Below are 21924 nucleotides of genomic sequence, written 5' to 3'. Positions count from 1 at the left end.
CCCATCTGGTGAATGGGCTGGCATCATCTCGGGCTGGGCTGAGTTATAAATTAACTGTAGCCTTGAATCAATCTCCTGGTGGAGATTTCCACAGATGCCTATATTGTTTCAAGATTTAGTCTCTGGAACTTTTAAGCGAACATACAATTAGATATGCTAACAGTGTGTATGGGGGGTGCTGGGGTGTCGGGGGGTGCCTAGTGGTTAACTGAACAAAAATAAAGAAATAGAAGTATATAACAAGAATATAACTTCCAAGCTGGGTACTTGGTTACAATAGGTGCTTGGATTGTATTAGAGATACCTCAAAGTGAGCAAACAACCAGCCAGAACTGGTCCCTGGCCTTGTGGAAGTTTCTCTCTTCTGTCTCTCTCCTCTCTCCCTTCTCTCTCTCCTCTCTTTGTCCTCTCTCCTTTCTTTCTTGACTTCCTTACCAATGGGAAACCCTGTTTTTCTAGATTAGGGAAAAGAAGGCCCGTTTAGAAAGTAGGGAAGGAGACAAAGTCTTACTTCCTGAAGCAAGGTAGGACTCAATTTGTGACCTAGAATCTGAGACAGGGAAGTAGAGGCAGGAAAACGGGGGAAATGGGGGAATAACTCGCTTCCTTTCTGGGTCGAGAAGGGCTAGAAGTCAAGGTTCAGTGGAGCCTTAGAGAAAGTCCAGCTCTTCATTTTACAGGTGAGGAAACTGAGGGGCGGAGAGGCTATAGTGTGGTAACAAGGTGGACACCTAGTCAGCTGCAGAAGTGGGAATAAACTGTGGCCTTTGAATAACACTATGGGGCCTCCAGTGAGGCGCTCAATTTTAATTCGGGACGCCTGGGTGGCAGCCGGGTGCTAGGGGTGGCTAGTTGCCATGGGAACCGGCTCCTCCCACTTCCTGCGTGCGCACCCGTAGACCTGCGCTCCCAATAAAGTTGTTGTTGAAGCGCGGCGGCGGCACCACGTGGGCCGGACCGGGCCGGGGGCGGGGCCGAGCTGAGGGAGGACCTGCTGGCTGCAGTGAGGAGCGGAGGCGGGCGCGGGCGGCCGGCCATGATCGCGTCGTGCTTGTGTTACCTGCTGCTGCCGGCCACGCGCCTCTTCCGCGCCCTCTCAGGTACCGGCCAGGCGTACCGACAGACAGGAGCCCGGCCAGGGCTCGCCTCTGCGGGGCTCCGCGGGCCTGGGGCGGCGTGCGGTTGGCCGGGCCTCACGACTACCGTGCCCCGGGCAGTGCCGAGGTGTAGGGAGGCGGTCCTGAGCCCCTGCCCCGCGGGCCCCTCCTGACCCCACGAGGCCTGGACCTGGCCGACGTCCCTCGTGGGCGGCCCCTCCTCCCGCCTGTTGTCAGATGGCGTCCGGCCGCGGTTAAGGTGGAGAGGAGCTGTGGACGGGCAGGGCCCTTTCCTGGCCCTGGGGGTGCAGAGAAATTGTGGGGTCGGCCAAGTCAGCACCCCGGCGGGTCGGGAAGGGGTAGTAGCTCGGACCTAGGCGAGTGCCCAAATTCTCAGCGGGCGAGGCGGGTCGGCTCTGGGAGGTTTATGGCCGAAGTACTGGACGCACCGATCTTCCCCAGGTTAACTTCACACTCGCCTTTCACTGCCACCTGGCAGCTCTCGCTCACCGGTGTCTTTGGTTGAAAAACGGACGTTCAATCAGAGACACATTTAGATCTCAGCTTTGGAGCATTCCTGCCCCCACTCCCGGCGGTTTAGAGGGAGATGTGCTGGGGTGGGGGCAATGCCCAGTCGATACCTCAAAGAGGGGGTGTTTATTTCGTTATTGTTTCATAATTTGTCTGCATTCTCTATTTCTGGGCTTTGAAATTACGGAGGGTTTTATGCGACCATCAGTTTCTGAGATCCCATGGAACTCGCAGACTTTTTGCCTTTAATTTATGGGACAGGACCAAGAAGTACTTAGGAATGAGGGCTCCAATTGTATATTCTGTGGTTTTCCTTTGTGGAACTTTACACAATTGGTACGCAATGTGTGTGTCATTGATAATATATATTTCATATAGAAATATTTTAAATTTTACTGTGTATCTGCCATTAGAATGCAAACTTCAGGAGCGCAGGGCCACGTCCATTTTGTTCGCTGTATCTCTGGTGTTAACACATTGCTTGGTATACAGTAGGCACTCAGTGAATTCAGGAATGTCTTGTGTGTCCATACTTCTGAGGAATGTGGGAAACTCCACAGAAGTAATTGTTTCCAGAGAACTAAACATATTCTTTTAACTATGTTGCTGTTTTTCCTGGAGCTCTTCTAATGCCTTAGTGATACAGTATACTAGTCCAGAGGTTTCCAGACCAGTAGAGTTCTAGGGATCTCAGAGGAGGGCCCCCCCCGCCCCCCCACCTACACATTACAGTAGTCCCACTTATATTTACTTGGCATATTTGGTTTCCAGATAAGATTTTTAAAAAACAAAAGCATTCTGCTGCTGAAAATCCACCACCACCACCACCAAAAGACATCTACCAAAATTGAAAGCTAGTAACTTCGTGCATATGAACCAAAGAACCTCTGCCATCTGGTATACACAGAGGATATTTCAAGGGGCAGATAATCAGGAAGTCCTTGAGGCTAAAGCTCAACGACCCAGCCCATACATAGGTTTAGAGCAGGGTTTCTCAATCTCAGCACTGTTGACGTTTTGGACCGGATCATTTGGTGTGGGTCTGTCCTGTGAATTGTTGGAAGTTCAGCAGCGTCTCTGTCCTCTAACCACTAGATGCCAGTAGCAATGCTGCAGTTGTGACAACAACAGTGTCTCTGAACGTTGCTAAATGTCTTCCGAGGGCAAAATCACCGTGGTTAAAACCATTGTTTAGAAGGACATAAATATACATAGACCCCAAACAAGATATTTGAACCGTCTTTCAATATTTGAGCCACTTTTAAGGTTTCTTCCCTTTAAAAAAAAATTGCCAATAAAATGAGTCTAGTGATTGAGGGCCAGCATCGTGCATGTTACTCGTCCTGTGCTGTAAATAAATGGTTGAGTGTGTGAGTGTAGGAGTTGTTTGCTCTCACCAAAATACTGTGCTCAGAGTTTGGGGGCTCTAATTTTAGAGTTTTTCCCACTTTCTTTCTTGCCTGTTGGCTGTCATTGGTGGCTGCAGTATCAGAGAGATGTCAGCTGTCTCTTACTGTCGATTGTTGGCACCTTGTAATTTATAGCCTCTGATGTGTTGTGGAATGGGAAAGCAGATAATGAAGTTTGTGAAGATTTTATTACAATAAGTAGCTTTGAGAAAAGGCTTAAGGGCCCTTGCTAAGATGTAAATTGTATAGATTTTTGAGACTGTCTACTTTAGGACTTTTTCTTTTGGAATACATTAATAGATTAGGGAATTTATACAGCTAGAAAAGCTCAGAGATTATCTAGTTCAAACTTGTCTCTATTTTTTTAAATTTAAAATTTATTTTTTTCTTTTCTTTTCTTTTTTTTTTTGAGATGAGGTCTCACTTTGTCTCCCAGGCGGGAGTGCAGAAGGGCAGTCATAGCTCACTGCAGCGTCAACCTGGGCTCAAGCAATCCTCTCATTTCAGCCTCCCAAGTAGCTAGGACCATGGGCATGTGCCACCGTACTTGGCTAATTTTTAATTTTTTGTAGAGATGAAGTTTCGTTATGTTGCCCAGGCTGGTCTCTAACTCCTGGCCTCAAGTGATCCTGCTGCCTCTGTCTCTGCCTCCCAAAGTGCTGGGAGCCACCACGCCTGGCCTCTTGTCCCCATTTTACAGTCAAGAGTAACTTCATCTGACTAGGGGCATTGTTCAAGGTCAGTTTTATTAATTTTGGTGCTAGATCATAACCCACAGTTCTGATTAACAGTCAGTTGCTGGTTGCAATGTAATGTGATTCTTAGAACCAAAGAGTTTGTTAATAGTAGTCTTAACTAAGTCATGTAAAAGGAGTGTGGGTATATGTGCCCATCTGTGTTCTAGATTATGTGAGACAGCTGTTCTTTCATGCACTGAATATTTATCAGATCCCTGCCATATAAATTAGTCAACACTTGTAAAGAACAGTGCCTGGCACATAGTGAATACTTTGCCCTGATGATGATGATGATGTTCAGGCATTAAGGTAGGCAGGCTCAGTGATGGTACAATGATGAGCAAGGTGGATATGGGTCTTGCTTTTATTGGGCTTATGTTTTAGCTGGGAGAATAGTGTGGGTTGGATGACAGTCTTATAACCTGGTATTTTGGCTTTCCTCCTAGATGCTTTCTTCACATGTCGAAAAAATGTCCTTCTGGCGAACAGCTCATCCCCCCAGGTAGAGGGCGACTTTGCCATGGCCCCTCGGGGCCCTGAGCAGGAGGAATGTGAGGGCCTGCTGCAGCAGTGGCGAGAAGAAGGGTTGAGCCAGGTGCTCTCAACTGCAAGTGAGGGGCCCCTTATAGATAAAGGACTAGCCCAGAGCAGCCTGGCACTTCTGATGGATAATCCTGGAGAAGAGAATGCTGCTTCAGAGGACAGGTGGTCCAGCAGGCAGCTGAGTGACCTTCGGGCTGCAGAGAACCTGGATGAGCCTTTCCCTGAGATGCTAGGAGAGGAGCCACTGCTGGAGGTGGAGGGGGTGGAGGGCTCCATGTGGGCAGCTATCCCCATGCAGTCGGAGCCCCAGTATGCAGACTGTGCTGCCCTCCCAGTGGGTGCCCTGGCCACAGAGCAGTGGGAAGAGGACCCAGCGGTGTTGGCCTGGAGCATAGCACCTGAGCCTGTGCCCCAGGAAGAGGCTTCCATCTGGCCCTTTGAGGGCCTGGGGCAGTTGCAGCCTCCCGCAGTGGAAATACCATATCATGGTGAGTCTGACAACTGGTTGAGTGAGCCAAGGGAACAGGGTGTCTCAGGTGTGGGCAGAGCCATTGCTAAAGAGAAGATTCTATGGTAGGGAGCTCTGCCACTGCATTCTATTTTTCTAAGAATCTTGGCATGTCAGATCTAGAGGGTCCTTACAGATCATCTCATCCAGCCCCATGGTTTTAAAGGTGAAATAATCAGAGTGCAGAGAGGTAGTAGAACATGACTAAAGTCATAAAGCCAGGTAGGGGAAGAACTGAAAGCATACTCTAGTTCTGATTCTCCACAATGTCATTTCTCTGGTGGTAACCCTAGGGCTTTCTGGAGGTAGGGATAGAGAGGTCTCAGGGCCTCTAGTCTCTGTCTCAGTCACAATTACCTCAGTTTTATTTGTGTTGTATATTGAGAGTCCGTTAAAATTTGAAGAATGGCGTCAATAGATTTGAAATCCACTATGCTGCCACATGCCATAGGGGAGATGGGGACACACCATAGTTTCTAGTCCCACAGACTCTTCCAGGTTTAGGGGTCAGAAAACACCCAGGGCTGCAATTACTCTAAAAATGTCTTTAACCTCAGGTGACTGTTAAGCACACTCATCTGAGTGATTCTCCGGAGATTCATGGATTTATCAAAAATGAGAGTGTGTCAGCTTCCATATATGGAGCATCTATTAGATGCTAGGTGCTGGGGATGTAGTGGTGAGCAGGCCAAGATTGTCTCTGGCCTTGTGGAGCTAACCATGTCATCTGAAGAATGTCCATAGAAATCAATTCCCCACAGAGAGGGATGGGTGACAGGGAAGATGGAAAAAGGAACTTCAGGCATAATATTACTGAGTCAGGAGTGGAGATGGCAGCACCTCTGCATTACTCATACTTGCCATTGAGTGCTTCTCCCAATCCTTTGCAGAAATTTTGTGGCGAGAATGGGAGGATTTCTCCACCCAGCCAGATGCTCAGGGCCTGAAGGCAGGAGATGGCCCTCAGTTCCAGTTCACTCTGATGTCTTATAACATCCTGGCTCAGGACCTGATGCAGCAGAGCTCAGAGCTCTATCTACATTGCCATCCAGACATCCTCAATTGGAACTATCGCTTCGTGAACCTCATGCAGGAATTCCAGCACTGGGACCCTGATGTGAGTGAAGAGGGGGAATTGCCATCTTGCATTGTTGCTGGACCTGGGCTGTTGCCCAGTGCTCTTAGAAGATGAGTTCAACCCATAGTTGTTCAAATGATTGGAGTCCTATCTAGGGCTGGAGCTTGCCTGCCTGGTGTCAGTGAGTTGTTGGCAGATGCTGAGAAGAATCTCCCTAGATGTGCACTTCCCAGCACCTTTATGCAGGAAGGGAGGCTTGAGGGATTCAAGGAGCAGGAAAATCCAGTGCACATCTCTAATCTCTTCAGCTTAAGTCTGGGCCTGTTCTTGCTGTTGGTGACTCTGGGAAGTTTCAGTGTGACCCAGCAGCTTCCCACCTGGCCTCAGGACCTGCTCCTAGAGGGTGGGGGTCACATTCCAGCACTCTGGAGTGATTGGGTTTCTTGTCAATTTCCCAGATCCTGTGTCTCCAGGAAGTCCAGGAAGATCATTACTGGGAGCAGCTGGAACCCTCTCTGCGAATGATGGGTAATGCAGCTCCCTGGGATGCTTGCCAGCTTTTCTTTCCACAGACTTGTCTACTCTCTCCTGAAGACCCCATCCTTTCCTTTTGTCTTAGTAAACCCTCAGTTTCACCTGTGAGCTAGCTCCTTCCATGTGTGCCTGAGAAAGTAGAATTCTGCAGTTTTATAGCAATTCTGACATACATTGCTATTTGATCCTTGAAGTAACCAATGTGGTGAGACTGTTATTCCCATTTTACAGATGAGGAAACTGAAGTTCTGAAAACTCATGTGACTTCCTCAGAATCACAAAGCTACAAAGCTAGTAGATGTGGAGCTAGGAATCCAGCTTGTCTGACTCTAGATTCTGTGCTCTTTTCTATCATGTTACATTGCTTCATACCCTTCCCTCCTTGCCCTTCCAGCCCCTCAGTCAGCTGGTTACGATGTAAGGGGGAACCTGCTGAACCAAGGAAGTGGCAAAGGCTCCTTTACTGAGTAGCAGGAACAATGCCTCAGGGGCATACACTGGGACTGCTGGTGCTGGTTGGAAGGGATTCAGGCTTTAAGGACTCTGACCCATCTCTTTGGTGGGATTTTCCTTGCAGGCTTTACCTGTTTCTACAAGAGGAGGACTGGGTGTAAAACCGATGGCTGTGCTGTCTGCTACAAGCCTACCAGATTCCGCCTGCTCTGTGCTAGCCCTGTGGAGTACTTCCGGCCTGGCTTGGAGCTACTTAATCGGGATAATGTGGGCTTAGTGTTGCTACTGCAACCACTCGTCCCAGAAGGCCTGGGACAAGTCTCGGTGGCCCCGCTGTGTGTGGCAAATACCCATATCCTTTACAACCCACGCCGGGGCGATGTCAAGCTGGCCCAGATGGCCATTCTCCTGGCGGAAGTGGACAAGGTGGCCAGACTGTCAGATGGCAGCCACTGCCCCATCATCTTGTGCGGGGACCTAAATTCTGTCCCTGATTCACCTCTCTACAACTTCATCAGGGATGGAGAGCTCCAGTACCATGGGATGCCAGCCTGGAAGGTGAAATGGGAGAGGCCACGGTGTGGGTGGGAACATGGTCTAAGAGAGATTCAGGCGTTAGCATCAGTGCTTCTTCTGTGGCAGGGACCTCAGTACACCTGCTCTGGCCTGCTCCTCCTTTTTCTTGTTATGTTGAATAGCTTGTACCCAAGCCTGGAAGTTAAGAATTCTTGAGTACTTCGGCATATTGGAATTTTTTTCAGTTTTTATCATTAATATTTTTAATTCACAAGTAATACGTAAGTACATACTTGAAGGAACTTAAACATTATACAGTAAGACACAGGCCTGTTTTATTACCCACATTCCCTATTCTATTCTCTTAGAGTAACATAATGACCGTTCTAAGTTTGGTGGTAGTCTTTTAGCTTGTTTTCTTTGCATTTACAGTGATATCTATGTTCCTATGATATTGTAATCAGTGTTTACATTTGTTAAGCACTTAAGTGTGTGCCATGTGCTATTTTAAGCACTTTATACTCATTAACTAATTAGTTTTCACAGTTTCCATCATGGCTTCCATTTTATAAATGAGGAAACTAAAGCTCAGAAAAGTGAAGTAATTTGCCCTAGGTTATGCGGGTAGTTAGTGGTGGAGCCAGGATTTGTAACCAGGTGGTCTGGCTGCAGAGCTCTTACCCTCAAATACTGTGCTGTCATTGCTTATAACAGCCAATATGTAATCTACCATGTGTGTTTTATAAACATGATACACTACTGTATGTTTCATTTGTAGCTTGTTTTTTTTCACTCAGCAATTTGCATATGGATCTCATTCCTTCTAACTGTTGAGTGTTGATGACAAACACCTCGTAGTTTTATCAGCTTGTGCTGATTTCTTTATGTCACTTAATCTCCTTGTTCCTCTATTTTGCCCCTACTGTTTCAATTTATTGACTAACTTTTGGCAAGGCACAATGGTGGAAGGACACAAAACGATTGTATTACTGTTGCGCACATGGGATTTTATGTAAATGAGCCAGATGTGTGCAGAGAAAGGCATGATCTTGCCCTAAAGGAGCTGTAATCAAGGAACTCAGGGAACGAGGAAAAGAATTTACTGACTGCCTGCCACATGACAGGCACTGTTAGGCATAGTGAATGAGAGCACTTGCTTTGAAGCCAGACAGTCCTGAGTTCAGATCCGTGCTCTGCCACCTTGAGCAAATTACTTAACTTTTTTGAACCCCATTTGCCTCATCTATACGATGGGGGATATAATGGGACCTGCCTCAGAGGTGTTTTTTTGGGTGGATTAAATAAAATAATGCGTGTAAAGTGTTTTCCAGTATCTGGCTCAAAGTCAGTAACCGGTAGTGATTATTAAGATTCTTAATTGTACATGGTATTATTATCCCATTTTATTTATTTATTTATTTATTTATTTATTTATTTATTTATTTTTTGAGACAGAGTCTCGCTCTGTTGCCCAGGCTGGAGTGCAATGGCACGATCTCGGCTCACTGCAACCTCTGCCTCCTGGGTTCATGTGATTCTCCTGCCTCAGCCTCCCAAGTAGCTGGGATTACAGGTGTGTGCCACCATGCTCGGCTGATTTTTGTATGTTTAGTAGAGACGGGGTTTCGCCATGTTGGCCAGGCTGGTCTCGAACTCCTGAACTCAGGTGATCCACCTACCTCAGCCTCCCAAAGTGCTAGGATTACAGGCGTGAGCCACTGCGCCTGGCCTATCCCATTTTATAGTAGGAGATATTGAACCCAAGAGAGTTAACTAACTTGCCAAAAGTCACACAGCTATTAAGTGGCCATTGAATTGCAGATCTGTTTTACTTCTGATGACATATTGAAAATTTATGCCCTTACAGGGCAAGGGGATTCTGTCTATTGCTGCTCTATCCCCAGCACCTAGCTAGTGTCTTTTGGCTTTCAAATATTTGTTGTTGTTAAATGGCATAAAGGGACTTTTGCTACACACGTTGGAGATGTGCAGATGACTGATGTTGCCGAATGTTTCCCCTACTACGTTTTGTCCGTTCCCAGGCTGCTCATTGGCTTTGACCGAGGATGGTGACGTAGATACGGTAAAGTGCTTTGGTGCTTTCCCATTTGGTTTGACCCTGTGGTTACCCAGTAATAGGTTCAGGATATTAGACCTTGATCCAGAAGATCCAAAGATGAGGATAAACCTTTAACCATTGCAACTTAAAGCCCCTGAGAGTTGATATTCCCTGTGGAGGAGAATTGTATTGATTTTTCAGAGGTAAAATTTAGGGAACCACATGTTCATACTATTCGATTCCCCTTGATTCAGTCTCTTACCCCTCCTCCTGTTTCATGGACATTTCAGTGTTGCCAGTGAAAAAGTAATGGTTTTAATTTGGTCCTTATTTTTAACCTGCCCCTGAGACTTATATGCTTGTTTATACCATGTACGTAGTGTGTGATTGTATGTGTTTGTATTTGTCCACATGTCCCAAAACATGGGCTGTTACTTCCTTTTTCTATCTTGGTTTCCTTATTCCCACCCTTCTTTTTCCACCCAGGTATCTGGACAGGAAGACTTCTCCCATCAGCTTTACCAGAGGAAGCTGCAGGCCCCACTGTGGCCCAGCTCCCTGGGCATCACTGATTGCTGTCAGTATGTCACCTCCTGTCACCCCAAGAGATCAGGTGAGCACATGTCACATTCTTGGTTGGCTGTGTCTTCATGCCCATTTTGGGAGAAAGCTGGTGTCTCAACGACAAGAAAAAGTGTAATCCCTCATTTCTCTTAGCAGATTCCTCTGTTTTCTCACTATCCTCCCAATGGCTGTCCAATGAAATGGACAACTTTAAATCATAGCCTTTGGAAAATCTCCTTGTCTTCTGAATGCTTCCTCTGTGTACCTATGCTGGAAGTTGCTTGGTACTAAGGAGGTCTCAGCATGTGGCTTCATCGTCTTTCTTTCACTATATGTCTTTTCCTGGTTTACAGAGAGACGCAAGTATGGCCGAGACTTCCTGCTACGTTTCCGCTTCTGCAGCATCGCTTGTCAGCGACCAGTAGGACTGGTCCTTATGGAAGGAGTGACAGATACTAAGCCAGGTAATGGGAACTAATCCCAGTTTCTTGGTCTTCTTTCTTCCTCATTCCTGATATTGGTCAGTTATGTGGTTTCCTGCTCTTTTCTAAGTATAATTCTTAGAGATTAGCTTCTGGTAATACGTATATTTAGAAGGAAGGTTAGTTGAGTTCAGTGGCCATTGCATGGATGTGCAGTGTGATAAGAGTGCCGGACCAGGAATCAAGACACCTGGGTTGTAACTAGCTTTGAGAGCTTGGGTAAGCCATTTAACCTTTTTAAGCTTAAGTTGCTAATGACTAGCATGTGTACAGCATATATAGGGGAGAAGTTACACATGATGGGGCTTTGAAAATCATAAGGTGACAGTGGTTCTGATTTTAATAAAAGTTGTTCCTACTGAGAAATTTCAGATTGAATATAGCAGAGTATACTTGACATTCTCCCCTTCTTGTCTCTGAAACCACTTCAAAGCAACAAGGAGAATGGAAAAAAGAAATGTAAACTCCATTGTAGACAAAACTGGGAAATTTGAAGATATCTGACACCAAGAACCACAACACAGAAGGAATGCCTGCAAGAAGCACTGGAGATCGTGCAGGGGTGCTAGAGGAAGTATAGAGAGACTTATCTGTGGGGATATGTGGATCTCAGAACTAGCTGAGTACTTTTTTCCATGTGGAGCATAAAACCCAAATCCCTTTTTTTTTTTTCAACAAGAGTAGAAAGCACAGGTCATGATAGGAGAGTCTCTGGACCCGTTTTGATCCTAAGAGGCAGTGGAGGAGGGACTGATCAAGGATCAAGCCATATTTCCATTAAGCAATCTGTTCAAGTGGTAGAGAGGGTAGATGAGATACTTGTAGAGCTGCCTATCTCTTTTGGCTTGGGAGAGAGAAAGATTTAAAAGGATGCTGACATAACCCTGTGTCAAAAAGAAAATTCCCGTTACTTGAAATACCCAGTCCTTCCCTTATATAAACTTTGTACAAATAGCTGGTGCAGAAAAACCTTAACTAATTCAAAGCTGGTTGTCAAAAAAGGAAAAGCATGGAATCTGTGCTAAAATACTGCAAGAAAAAAGGAACAGAAAAATAAAAGGCAGATAAAGAATGTTTAACTTCAAAGATAAAAATAATTGCCATGGAGCTCATAGAAATTACGATTACTTTCTCATGAATAAAGAAATTGTCTTTATTTTTTATTTTATTTTATTTTTTTTTGAGATAGAGTCTCACTCTGTCACCAGGCTGGAGTGCAGTGGCACCATCTCGGCTCACTACAACCTCTGCCTCCTGGGTTCAAGCAATTCTCTTGCCTCAGCCTCCCGAGTAGCTGGGACTGCAGGCACATGCTGCCACGCCTGGCTAATTTTTTTTTTTTCTTTTTTTGTATTTTAGTAGAGACAGGGGTTTCACTATGTTGTCCAGGCTGGTCTCGAACTCCTGACCTCAGGCAGTCTGCCTGCCTTGGCCTCCCAAAGTGCTAGGATTACAGGCGTGAGCCACCGCGCTGGGCCAAGAAATTGTCTTTATGAAAGAAAGAGCACAAAAATAAAATGGCTGCCTTTATAAAATAAGTTCAGGCATGTGGCAAGACATCAGAAGATGAAATGTAAGCTGCAGAGCTCAGAAAAGAAGTGGAATAAAAAATAAAAACATTACAAAAAATAAAGACAAAATTGTATGCAGCACAAGTAGGAATAGATAACTGTGGAAAACAAGGTAAGGAAATCCAAACAAAACAAATAAAAAAAACAGTGAGAAGTTAAAGGTTAGAAAGGATTAGAGAGAAAATGACAGTAGTGAAAGATAAAGGAGATTTAACTTATACATAATTGGAGTTCCCAAAGAAGAAAGCCTATAATATAATAACACAGAAGAAATATTTAAAGATAATTATCCAAGAAAGATTTTCCCAAAACGAAAAGATGTGAATTTTCAGATCGAGAAGACATGTGTCTCAGTAAAAAATGATACAGGAGCCAGGCACCCTGGCTCACACCTATAGTCCCAGCATCTTGGGAGACCAAGGCAGAAGGATTGCTTGAGCCCAGGAGTTTGAGACCAGCCTGGGCAACAAAGTGAGACACCGTCTCTACAAAAAAATCAAAAAATTAGCCAGGCATGGTGATGCATGCCTGTGGTCCTAGCTACACAGGAGGCTGAGGCAAGAGGATTGCTTGAGCCCAGAAGGTCAAGGCTGCAGTGAGCCATGTTCGTACCATTGCACTCCAGCTTGGGTGACAGAGTGAGACTGTGTCTCAAAAAAAAAAAAAAAAGATGTAGGAGAATTAATACTAAGACATTCCAGTGAGGTTCCTAGAAGTCAAAGATGAAAGAATCTTTTGGGCAGTTAAAAGATTGAGGTACTTTGAAGCCTAACGGTGATGAGGTTGACCTCAGACTTTTTTTTTTTTTTGAGACAAAGTCTTGCTTTGTCATCCAGACTGGAGTGTAGTGGTGTGATCGTGCCTCACTGCAACATCTGCCTCCTGGGTTTGAGTAATTCTCCTGCCTCAGCCTCCCCAATAGCTGGGGCTCTGGGCATGCGCCAGCATGCACGGCTAATTTTTTTGTATTTTTAGTAGAGACAGGGTTTCACCATGTTGGCCGGGCTGGTCTCAAACTCCTGACCTCAGGAGATCTGCCCACCTCATCCTCCCAAAGTGCTGGGATTACAGGTGTGAGCCAGTGCACTCAGAAGACTTCGGACTTCTTAATATTGACATCCAACTCTAGAAGACAGTGGATTAAGGTTTCTAGGAAAGGATATATAGTTCAAGAATATTATACTCAACTAACAACATTTCTTCAAGAAACTGCTAGAGGAGTAACTGAAGGCAATGGCTGGGAAAACTATAGTGAAAGGACTGCTGATGAACACTGAATTTATTCTCTTCTTGTAAGAATTTAACTTGAATTGGCATTTTGCACAGAGCAACAAATATGTCAGTGGCCCAGTTTATTTTAATTGCAAAGTCAAAGTATTATTACAGCTATGGCAGTAGCAATAGTGATAACAATGATGGCCACCCTGTATTGAGTGAACCAGCAGGTAGCAGGAATTGGGTTAAGTAAATTCTGTGTCAGTCAGGTTCAGCCAGGGGAGCCGTAGCTCAGTGATTTAGGATTATAAAAACAGTAACAGGATCTCACTTAGATAATTTCATAGTAAGAATAGGTTATTTAAATCAGTGATGTACTTGAATGAAACATAAAATAAATAGTAACAAAATTAAACCAAGACCTTTAAAATATATACTGACAATCACTTTGTAGGTAGAAAAGACTCATTCTATAGGGGCAAAGTAGCCAGTTCACCAGCGGTGCAAAATAACAGTATTTTCAAAATTGAGATTAGATTTGGGTAAACATACTTATTCTCCACATACTTTGAATGTACCCTTCTATTTGTTCAATGCTCCTACCCAGGGCTGAACAGGCTCTTGATGAATCTCAAATCTAATTTTTTTTTTTTTTTTTTTCATGACAGAGTCTCACTGTTTCACCCAGGCTGGAGTGCAGTGGTACAGTCATGGCTCACTGTGTAGCCTTGATCTCCTAGGCTCGTGTGATCCTCCCACCTCAACCTTCCGAGTAGCTGGGACTATAGGCACATGATACCATGCCCAGCTAATTTTTGTATTTTGTAGAGACTGGGTTTCACCATCTTGCCCAGGCTGGTCCCGAACTCTTGAGCTCAAGCCATCCTCCTGGCTCGACCTCTCAAAGTGCTAGAATTACAGGAGTGAGCCACCATGCCCAGCCAACTATCTTTATTTTAAAAGGGCCATGAATGGGCCGGGCGCGGTGGCTCACGCCTGTAATCCCAGCACTTTGGGAGGCTGAGGCGGGCGGATCATGAGGTCAGGAGATCGAGACCATCTTGGCTAACATGGTGAAACCCTGTCTCTACTAAAAATACAAAAGATTAGCCAGGTGTGGTGGCGGGCGCCTGTAGTCCCAGCTACTCGGGAGGCTGAGGCAGGAGAATGGTGTGAACGCGGGAGGCAGAGCTTGCAGTGAGCCGAGATTACACCGCTGTACTCCAGCCTGGGCGACAGAGCAAGACTGTGTCTCAAAAAAAAAAAAAAAAAAAAAAAAAAAAAAAAAGGAGGCCATGAATGGAGTACAACGAGATCTTAGTGTGTGAGTTCATTTTTCTAGAGGCTCTGATTAGATATGCTAACAATATTTCCAGTTCAGTACCAGAATCATCCAACCCAACTGTGCATTTCAAACCATGACAACTTAACTGTGACACTAGCTTGAATGGGGAGCCTCTGAGTACAAAGGAAGATTCAGTGCTAGGTAGTGATGGTTTGATTTTCCCATAAGCTGACATTGCATTGTACTGGAGCATTCTGTGCCATCCAATGTGTATAATAAAATACATTGTGATTCTTACTATTTCCAACTCCCTTTGTTTTTTTTTTTTTTTTTTTGAGACAGAGTCTCACTCTATCACTCAGGCTAGAGTGCCGTGACACAGTCTTGGCTTACTGCAGCCTTTGCCCCCGGGTTCAGGCAATTCTCGTGCCTCAGCCTCCCCAGTAGCTGGGATTACAGACATGCGACACCATGCCCAGCTAGTTTTTGTATTTTTAGTAGAAACGGGGTTTCACCACGTTGGCCAGGCTGGTCTTGAACTCCTGGCCTCAAATGATCCACCCACCTCGGCCTCCCAAAGTGCTGGGATTACAGGTGTGAACCACCAGGCCCAGCTCCCAACCCCCTTTGTAATGGAATAATTTGTAAAAAGGGTATTTAATTTTTAAGTCTCCCTCATTGTCAGCATTTCTATTATAAATGATTTCTTTTTTCCAGTATGGTTCTTAAAGATATTGTCTTAGTCCATTTGGGCTGCTGTAACAAGATACCATAAACTGGATAGCTTTTAAACAATAGAAATTTATTTCTCATGGTTCTGGAGGCCAGGAAGTTGAAGAGCAAGGCACTGGCAGAGGCTGGGTACAGTGGTTCACACCTGTAATCCCAGTACTTTGGAAGGCTGAGGTGGAAGGATTACTTGAGGCCAGGAGTTTGAGACCAGCCTGAGCAACATAGCAAAACCCCATCTCTACAGAAAATTCAAAAAGATTAGCTGGGCGTGGTGGCATGCGACTGTAGCCTTAGCTACTCAGGAGGCTGAGGTGGGAGGATCACTTGAGCCCAGAAGTTTGAAGTTACAGTGAGTTATGATTGCCCTACTGCACTCCCGCCTGGGCAACAGAGACCCTGTCTTTAAAAAAAAAAAAAACAAAGGCACTGGCAAATTTAGTGTCTGGTGAGGGCCTGGTTCCTGGTTCATGAGCATCATCTTCTCAGTGGTAGAAGAGGAAGAGGAAAGGGGTCTCTTGGGCATCTTTTATAAGAGCACTAATCCTATCCATGAGGACTCCACACTTGTGACCTAATCACCTCCCAAGGTGCCACTTCATCACCGTGGGGGTTAGGATTTCAACATATGAATTTGATTGTGGGGACACAAACATTTAGACCATAGCAGACATTAAAAGGAATTACTGTGTTTTCTTTCTCATAGACACTGGCACATTACACTGAATCTTGGGGCTTTAAGTCTTTTAACAAGTAAGAGCAAACCATGTGCACAATTTAGCACATTACAGAAAAGGCAATTGCTAATGGGCGATTTTTGTAAACTCCTAGTTAACAAACTGACCGGAAGGTCACACAGTCACACAGCAAAGGCTAAGGCTATCTGGTCAGTTCTCTTTCACACAGTCACACAGCAAAGGCTAAGGCTATCTGGTCAGTTTTCTTTTTTTTTCGAGACGGAGTCTCACTCTGTCACCCGGGCTGGAGTGCATTGGCGCGATCTCAGCTCACTGCAATCTCTGTCTCCTGGGTTCAAGTGATTCTCCTGCCTCAGCCTCCTGAGTAGCTGGGATTACAGGTGCATGCCACCACACCCAGCTAATTTTTTGTAGTCTTAGTAGAGATAGGGTTTCACCATGTTGGCCAGGCTGGTCTTGAATCCTGGCCTCAAGTGATCCCCCGGCTTCGGCCTCCCAAAGTGCTAGGATTACAGGTGTGAGCCACTGTGTCTGGCCTATCTGGTCAGTTTTCTAAGCAGAAAAGTTCTTTTTAGCTTGTTTGTTTTTTAACAAGCCTACAACTAACATCATAAAGAGCAGGAAAGTCCTAAATCCAGCTTCTTTACTGGCTGTTGTGTGATACAACTGAGGATCCTCTTCCCAAGTTCTTGCAGAGGAACTTGCATGCGTGGCTGCTACTATTGCTGAATGGGCCCAGGAAGAGGCTGTAGCTCATGTAGAGGTAGCAGCTTATGTGACCTGGAGCAGAGTAGGTGGAAGCCTTGAGTCCTGTATAACTGCCAGAGCAGTGCTGTTTGTTCACAGTGCTGCATGGTAAGAATGGTGTCTAGGGAAATCATGTTTAAGATCCTGCAGGTCACTGTGATTTTGTGTGTGTGTGTGTGTGGCATATTGTAATGACAAAGGATGTAACTTAAAGATACTAGTGTTAAAAATGTTTATGCTCCAAATAACATTGCATCAACAATCACAAAGTGAAACCATAGGCTGTAACATGGAGTAATAGACAATAACTAAAGGTAGAAGGCTTTAATTGATCTTTCTGAGTCTGCAGCAGATCAAGTAGATAAAAGATGACTAAGAATATAGAATAACTAAGTAACATGTCGGATGATAAATCTGATTCATATATATCAAACACCGAACATTGACAGCAGAGAAGACATTTTCTTTTTAAGTATTCATAGGAAATTCTTAGGAATTGATCATATGTTAGATCATAAAGCACATGCAATAAACATATAAGTTAAAAGTGAAAAGCTGGGCACAGTGGCTCATGCCTGTAATCCAGAACTTTGGGAGACTGAGGCAAGTGATTCCCTTGAGTCCTGGAGTTCGAAATAAGCCTGTGCAATGTGGCAAAACCCTGTCTCTACACAAAATGGAAAAATAGAAAAATTAGCCTGGCGTAGTGGCATGTGCCTATACTCCCAGCTACCGAGAGGCTAAGGTAAAAGGATAACTTGAGCCCGGAAGGTCAAGGCTGCAGTGAGCTGTGATCACACCCCTGCCTGAGTGACAGAGTGAGACCCTATCTCAAAAAAAAAAAAAGAAAAAGAAAAAGAAAAAAAATACTATGAACTGGACATTTAAAAAACTTTTTGATCAAAGAGGAAAATTTAAACGGAAATTGTGGAATATCTAGAAAATAACAATAATGAAAATACCATTATATTTGTTGGTTATAGCTAAAATGGTGTTCAAGAAAAAATTCATAGAATTACATAAAATATTTAGAATCATAGAGTTATATTAATAGATATGAAGGGATGAAAGTGAGTTAAGCACCCAATTCAAGAAATTAGAAAAAAGAAAGAAACTGAAAGAAAGCAAAAGGAAAGAAGATTCAAATGGAAATAATTTTAAAAACAGAAAAATGGAAGAACTCATAAATTCTTAAGAGTTGGTTGCTTGGATGAAAAATAGCTGTTGATTAAAGAAGCTCATTAGCTAACCTATGTAAGTGGGAAAAGAGCAGGAACAAGCATCCAGATGCAGCGGAATCAAGAATCACAAGGGTTTTTTGTTGTTTTTGCTCAACTAAGTGCAAAAGAAATGGAAAATTTGGATGGCATATAAATGTAATTTACTAAAACTGATTCCCATGGAGATTGTCTAAATAGACTAATGACCATGGGGTGAAAAGTAATAGGAAAAGTTCTCAGAGATACAGTCCCTCAGAAACACCAGGCTCAGATTGATAGGGAATGTCCTCAAACCTTTAAAAAACATATATTTCCATTATTGTTTAAATTGTTACAAAGCACAGAGAGAGAAAGGGGCCAGGTTATTTTTATGAAACAAGTATAATATTGACACTGACACCTGACAGTAAACACACAGAAAGAGAGAACTGCAGACTCTAATGTTCTCCACCTGTGAATATTGATGCAAAAAATTTTACATAGAAGATCAGGAAACAAAATCTAGCAGCATATTGAAAGACCAATATACCATAGACCAACTGAAGTTTAGTAGAAGTATAGGGATAGTTCAATATTGGGATATCTATTAATATAATTTTATATATATGTGAAATCTAAAATACATGAAACTTGTGCCATCCTCTGTATAGATGTTGAAGAGACATCTGTTAACATTCAACATCTATTCTTGATTCTTTTAAAATGAACCCTCTTAAGAAAAAAATGGATAATTTCCTACACCATTGAAATGTATTTATTTCAACTCCAAACAGCATCTTGATTAAAGAAAAAAACTCTAATAGCATTCCTGTTAAAGTTAGGAACAAGACAAGGACAAGACTATCATAATTTAACTGTGTTTGGAGATACCAGCCAACAGAATTAGAAGTAGAAAATAGAAATATAGCAAAATAGAAGGATAAAAATGGAAAGGAGGGGGTAAATTATTACTTGCTGATGATATTATTTTATAACTGGTAATCCAAGAGAATAAACTAAGCAGCATTAAGCATTAAGATAATTCTGGAAGGTAGATAGGTACAAAATTAATGTGCAGAACTTAGTAGTGTTCCTATATAGAAATACATGTTTATTAAAAGATATAATGAAAAAAATACACTGTGTAAGAGCAACAAAAAGAAAAAATATAGAAATAAATCTAACAGGAAGAATATAAGGCATATAAAAGGGCATTCCTTTCTTTTTTTTTTTTTTTTGAGATGGAGTCTCGCTCCGTTGCCCACGCTGGAGTGCAGTGGCATGATCTCGGCTCACTGCAACCTCTGCCTCCCATGTTCAAGCGATTCTTCTGCCTCAGCCTCCCGAGTAGCTGGGATTACAGGCACCCACCACCACGCCTGGCTGATTTTTTGTATTTTTAGTAGAGACGGGGTTTCACTGTATTAGCCAGGATGGTCTCGATCTCCTGACCTCATGATGCGTCCGCCCCAGCCTTCCAAAGTGCTGGGATTACAGGCGTGAGCCACTGCGCCTGGCCTAAAGGGGTATTTCATTTCATCTAAATTATCAGATATATTGGCGTGAAGTTGTTCGTAACATTCCCATATCCTTTTTTTTGAACAGCTTTATTGAGATGAAATTCACATGTCATAAAATCCACCCATTTTAAGTGTATAATTAATTGGCTTTTAGTATATTCCGGGTTGTGTGACCATCACCATGATCTAATTTTAGAACATTTTCATCACCCACAAACGAAACCTTACACCCATGAGTCACTTTCCATTTACTTCTCCCCTTGTCAAAAATCAATTGACCATAGATGTATGGATTTCTGGACTCTCAGTTCTGTTCCCTTCCTGTCTGTATCTGTCCTTATGCCAGAACCACACTGTCTTGGTTACTATAGTTTTGTATATAGTAGTCCGCCTTCTCAGTGATTTTGCCTTCTTTGGTTTCAGTTACCCCTGGTCAACTGAGGTTCAAAAACCTTAAGATACTTTGAGGGAGAGAGCGACCACATTCACATACCTTATTACAATATATTGTTATAATTTTTCTATTTTATTATTATTGTTAATCTTTTACTGTACATAATTTATAAAGTCAGCTTTATCATAGGTATGTTTAGGAAAAAAACAGTATATTTAGGATTTGGTAGTATCCATTGTTTCAGGCATCCGCTGGGGGACTCGGTATGTATCCCCCATGGATAAGATAGATTACTGTACTTTTGAAATAAGGACGAGTAAGTCCTCTGACTTTGTTGTTTTTAAGATGATTTTTGTCTCTTCTGGGTCTCTTGCATTCCCGTATGAAATTTAGGATCATCATATCCGTGTCTGCAAAAAAAGACAAAAAAAAAAAAACCAAAAAAACCAACCAGTTGGGATTTTGATAGGCATCTACAAATCTTTCCTTTCCTTTTTTCCTCCTCCTTTTTCTCCTCCTCTCCCCTTTCCTCCCTCTTCTTCCTTCTCCTCCCCTCCTCCTCCTCCTCCCCTCTCCTCTTTCCTTTTATCCCCTCTCCCCTCCTCTCCCCTCTCCTCTTTCCCCTCTCCTCTTTCTCCTCTCCTCTTTCCCGTCTCCCCTTTCCTTTCCTTCTTTCCTTTCTGTGACAAGGACTCAGTCTGTTGCCTAGGGAAGTATTGCCATTTTAACAATATTGTCTTATGGCCAATGAACATGGGCTGGTTTTCCTTATTTAGATCTTTAGTTTCTTTCCAAGTTTTGTAATTTTTAGTGTGCCTACACTTTTTATTAAATTTTTCCTAATTATTTCATTTTTGATGCTATTGTAGATGGAATTTTCTTTATTTCATATTTGGATTGTTCATTGCTAGTGTATAGAAGTATTTTTGTGTATTGATCGTGTACCTGCAATCTTGCTGAATTCATTTATTAGTTCTAATAGTTTCTTAGTGGATTTCTTAGGATTTTCTCTATATAAGATCATGTCATCTTACAAATAGAAATAGTATTCCTTCTACTCCAATCTGGATACCTTTTATTTCTTTTTCTTTCATAATTACTCTGACTAAAACTTTTGGTACAATGTCAAATAGAAGAGGTGAGAACAGACACCCTTTCCTTGTTCCTGATCTTAGGGGTAAAGCGTTCAGTCTTTCACCATTAAGTATGATATTAGCTGTGAGTTTTTCATAGATTCTCTTTATCAGATTGAGAAAGTTTTCTTCTATTCCTAGTTTTTTGAGTGTTTTTAACTCATGAAAGGGTGTTGGAGTGTGTCAAATGTTTTTCTTCTGTCTGTTTAGATAATCATGTGGCTTTTTTTTAAACTTAAGTATTCTATTGCGACATATCACATTATATGATTTTTCAGATGTTAAACCATGCTTACATTCCTAGGATAAATCTTATTTGGTCATAGTATATAATTTTATATTTTGCTGGATTTGGTTTGCTGATATTTTATTGAGGAATTTTGCATCTGTATTCATAAGGGATATTGGTCTATAGTTTTTGTTGTGACATTTTATCTAGTTTTGATGTCAGAGTAATGCCTCATAGAATGAGTTGAGAAGTGTCTCCTCTTTTTTTTGGAAGTGTTTGTGAAGGATTTGTATGAATTCCTCTTGAAATGTTTGCTGGAATTCACCAGTGAAGCCATTGAGCCTGGTGTTTTCTTTGTGGGATGTTTTAAAATTACAGATTCAATCTCTTTATTTATTATAGGCCTATTCAGATTTTCAGTTTTTTCTTGAGTTATTGTGCATAGTTTGTGTCTTTCTAGGAATTTTTCAATTTTATATAAGTTATCCAATTTGTTGGTATCCAGTTATTTATAGCATTCACTTATAGTTATTTTTTATTTCTAAATGGTTGGTGGTGATGGCCCCTCTTTCATTTCTGATTTTAGTAATTTGAGTATTCTGTTTTCTTGGTCTAGCTAAGGGCTTGTCACTGTTGTTGCTGATCCTTATTATCCTGTTAATGTTGGTAGGATCTGTACTAATGTCCCTTCTT

The 21924-nt window shown here is 42.9% G+C and overlaps 1 protein-coding gene across 4 annotated transcripts in view, besides 3 other annotated features; it reads left to right on the top strand.

Annotated features, from left to right (window-relative positions):
• Positions 793–1366: an enhancer, noted in NCBI's record as "H3K27ac-H3K4me1 hESC enhancer chr14:77278841-77279414 (GRCh37/hg19 assembly coordinates)". NCBI's record gives its function as "activates a minimal SCP1, AML or CMV promoter by ChIP-STARR-seq in naive H9 embryonic stem cells {active_cell/tissue: H9 hESC(naive)}" and the evidence as "EXISTENCE:reporter gene assay evidence [ECO:0000049][PMID:30033119]".
• Positions 915–1344: a silencer, noted in NCBI's record as "silent region_5959". NCBI's record gives its function as "represses an Ori minimal core promoter by ATAC-STARR-seq in GM12878 lymphoblastoid cells {active_cell/tissue: GM12878}" and the evidence as "EXISTENCE:reporter gene assay evidence [ECO:0000049][PMID:35858748]".
• The window catches only part of ANGEL1 (angel homolog 1), a 26874-nt gene continuing 5931 nt past the window's right edge, over positions 982–21924 (top strand). For 2 of the 4 annotated variants that reach the window (NM_001370746.1, NM_001370747.1), the window contains exons 1-9: positions 982–1100; positions 4221–4805; positions 5716–5942; positions 6362–6431; positions 7015–7448; positions 8862–8979; positions 9449–9489; positions 9952–10078; positions 10383–10493. In NM_001370746.1, the coding sequence (NP_001357675.1) occupies positions 1037–1100; positions 4221–4805; positions 5716–5942; positions 6362–6431; positions 7015–7448; positions 8862–8979; positions 9449–9489; positions 9952–10078; positions 10383–10493 (1777 nt within the window). In that variant the 5' untranslated portion in view covers positions 982–1036. The remainder of the gene's footprint in view (positions 1101–4220; positions 4806–5715; positions 5943–6361; positions 6432–7014; positions 7449–8861; positions 8980–9448; positions 9490–9951; positions 10079–10382; positions 10494–21924) is intronic. The other 2 variants (NM_001370748.1, NM_015305.4) reach the window with 1 other exon arrangement.
• Positions 1367–1941: an enhancer, noted in NCBI's record as "H3K27ac-H3K4me1 hESC enhancer chr14:77278266-77278840 (GRCh37/hg19 assembly coordinates)". NCBI's record gives its function as "activates a minimal SCP1, AML or CMV promoter by ChIP-STARR-seq in primed H9 embryonic stem cells {active_cell/tissue: H9 hESC(primed)}" and the evidence as "EXISTENCE:reporter gene assay evidence [ECO:0000049][PMID:30033119]".

This window comes from Homo sapiens, chromosome 14, assembly GCF_000001405.40.
Source record: "Homo sapiens chromosome 14, GRCh38.p14 Primary Assembly".
In the NCBI taxonomy this organism is placed as follows: Eukaryota; Metazoa; Chordata; class Mammalia; order Primates; family Hominidae; genus Homo; species Homo sapiens.
Note: the sequence above shows the minus strand (reverse complement) of the source record. Positions and strands in the feature narration are given on the sequence as shown.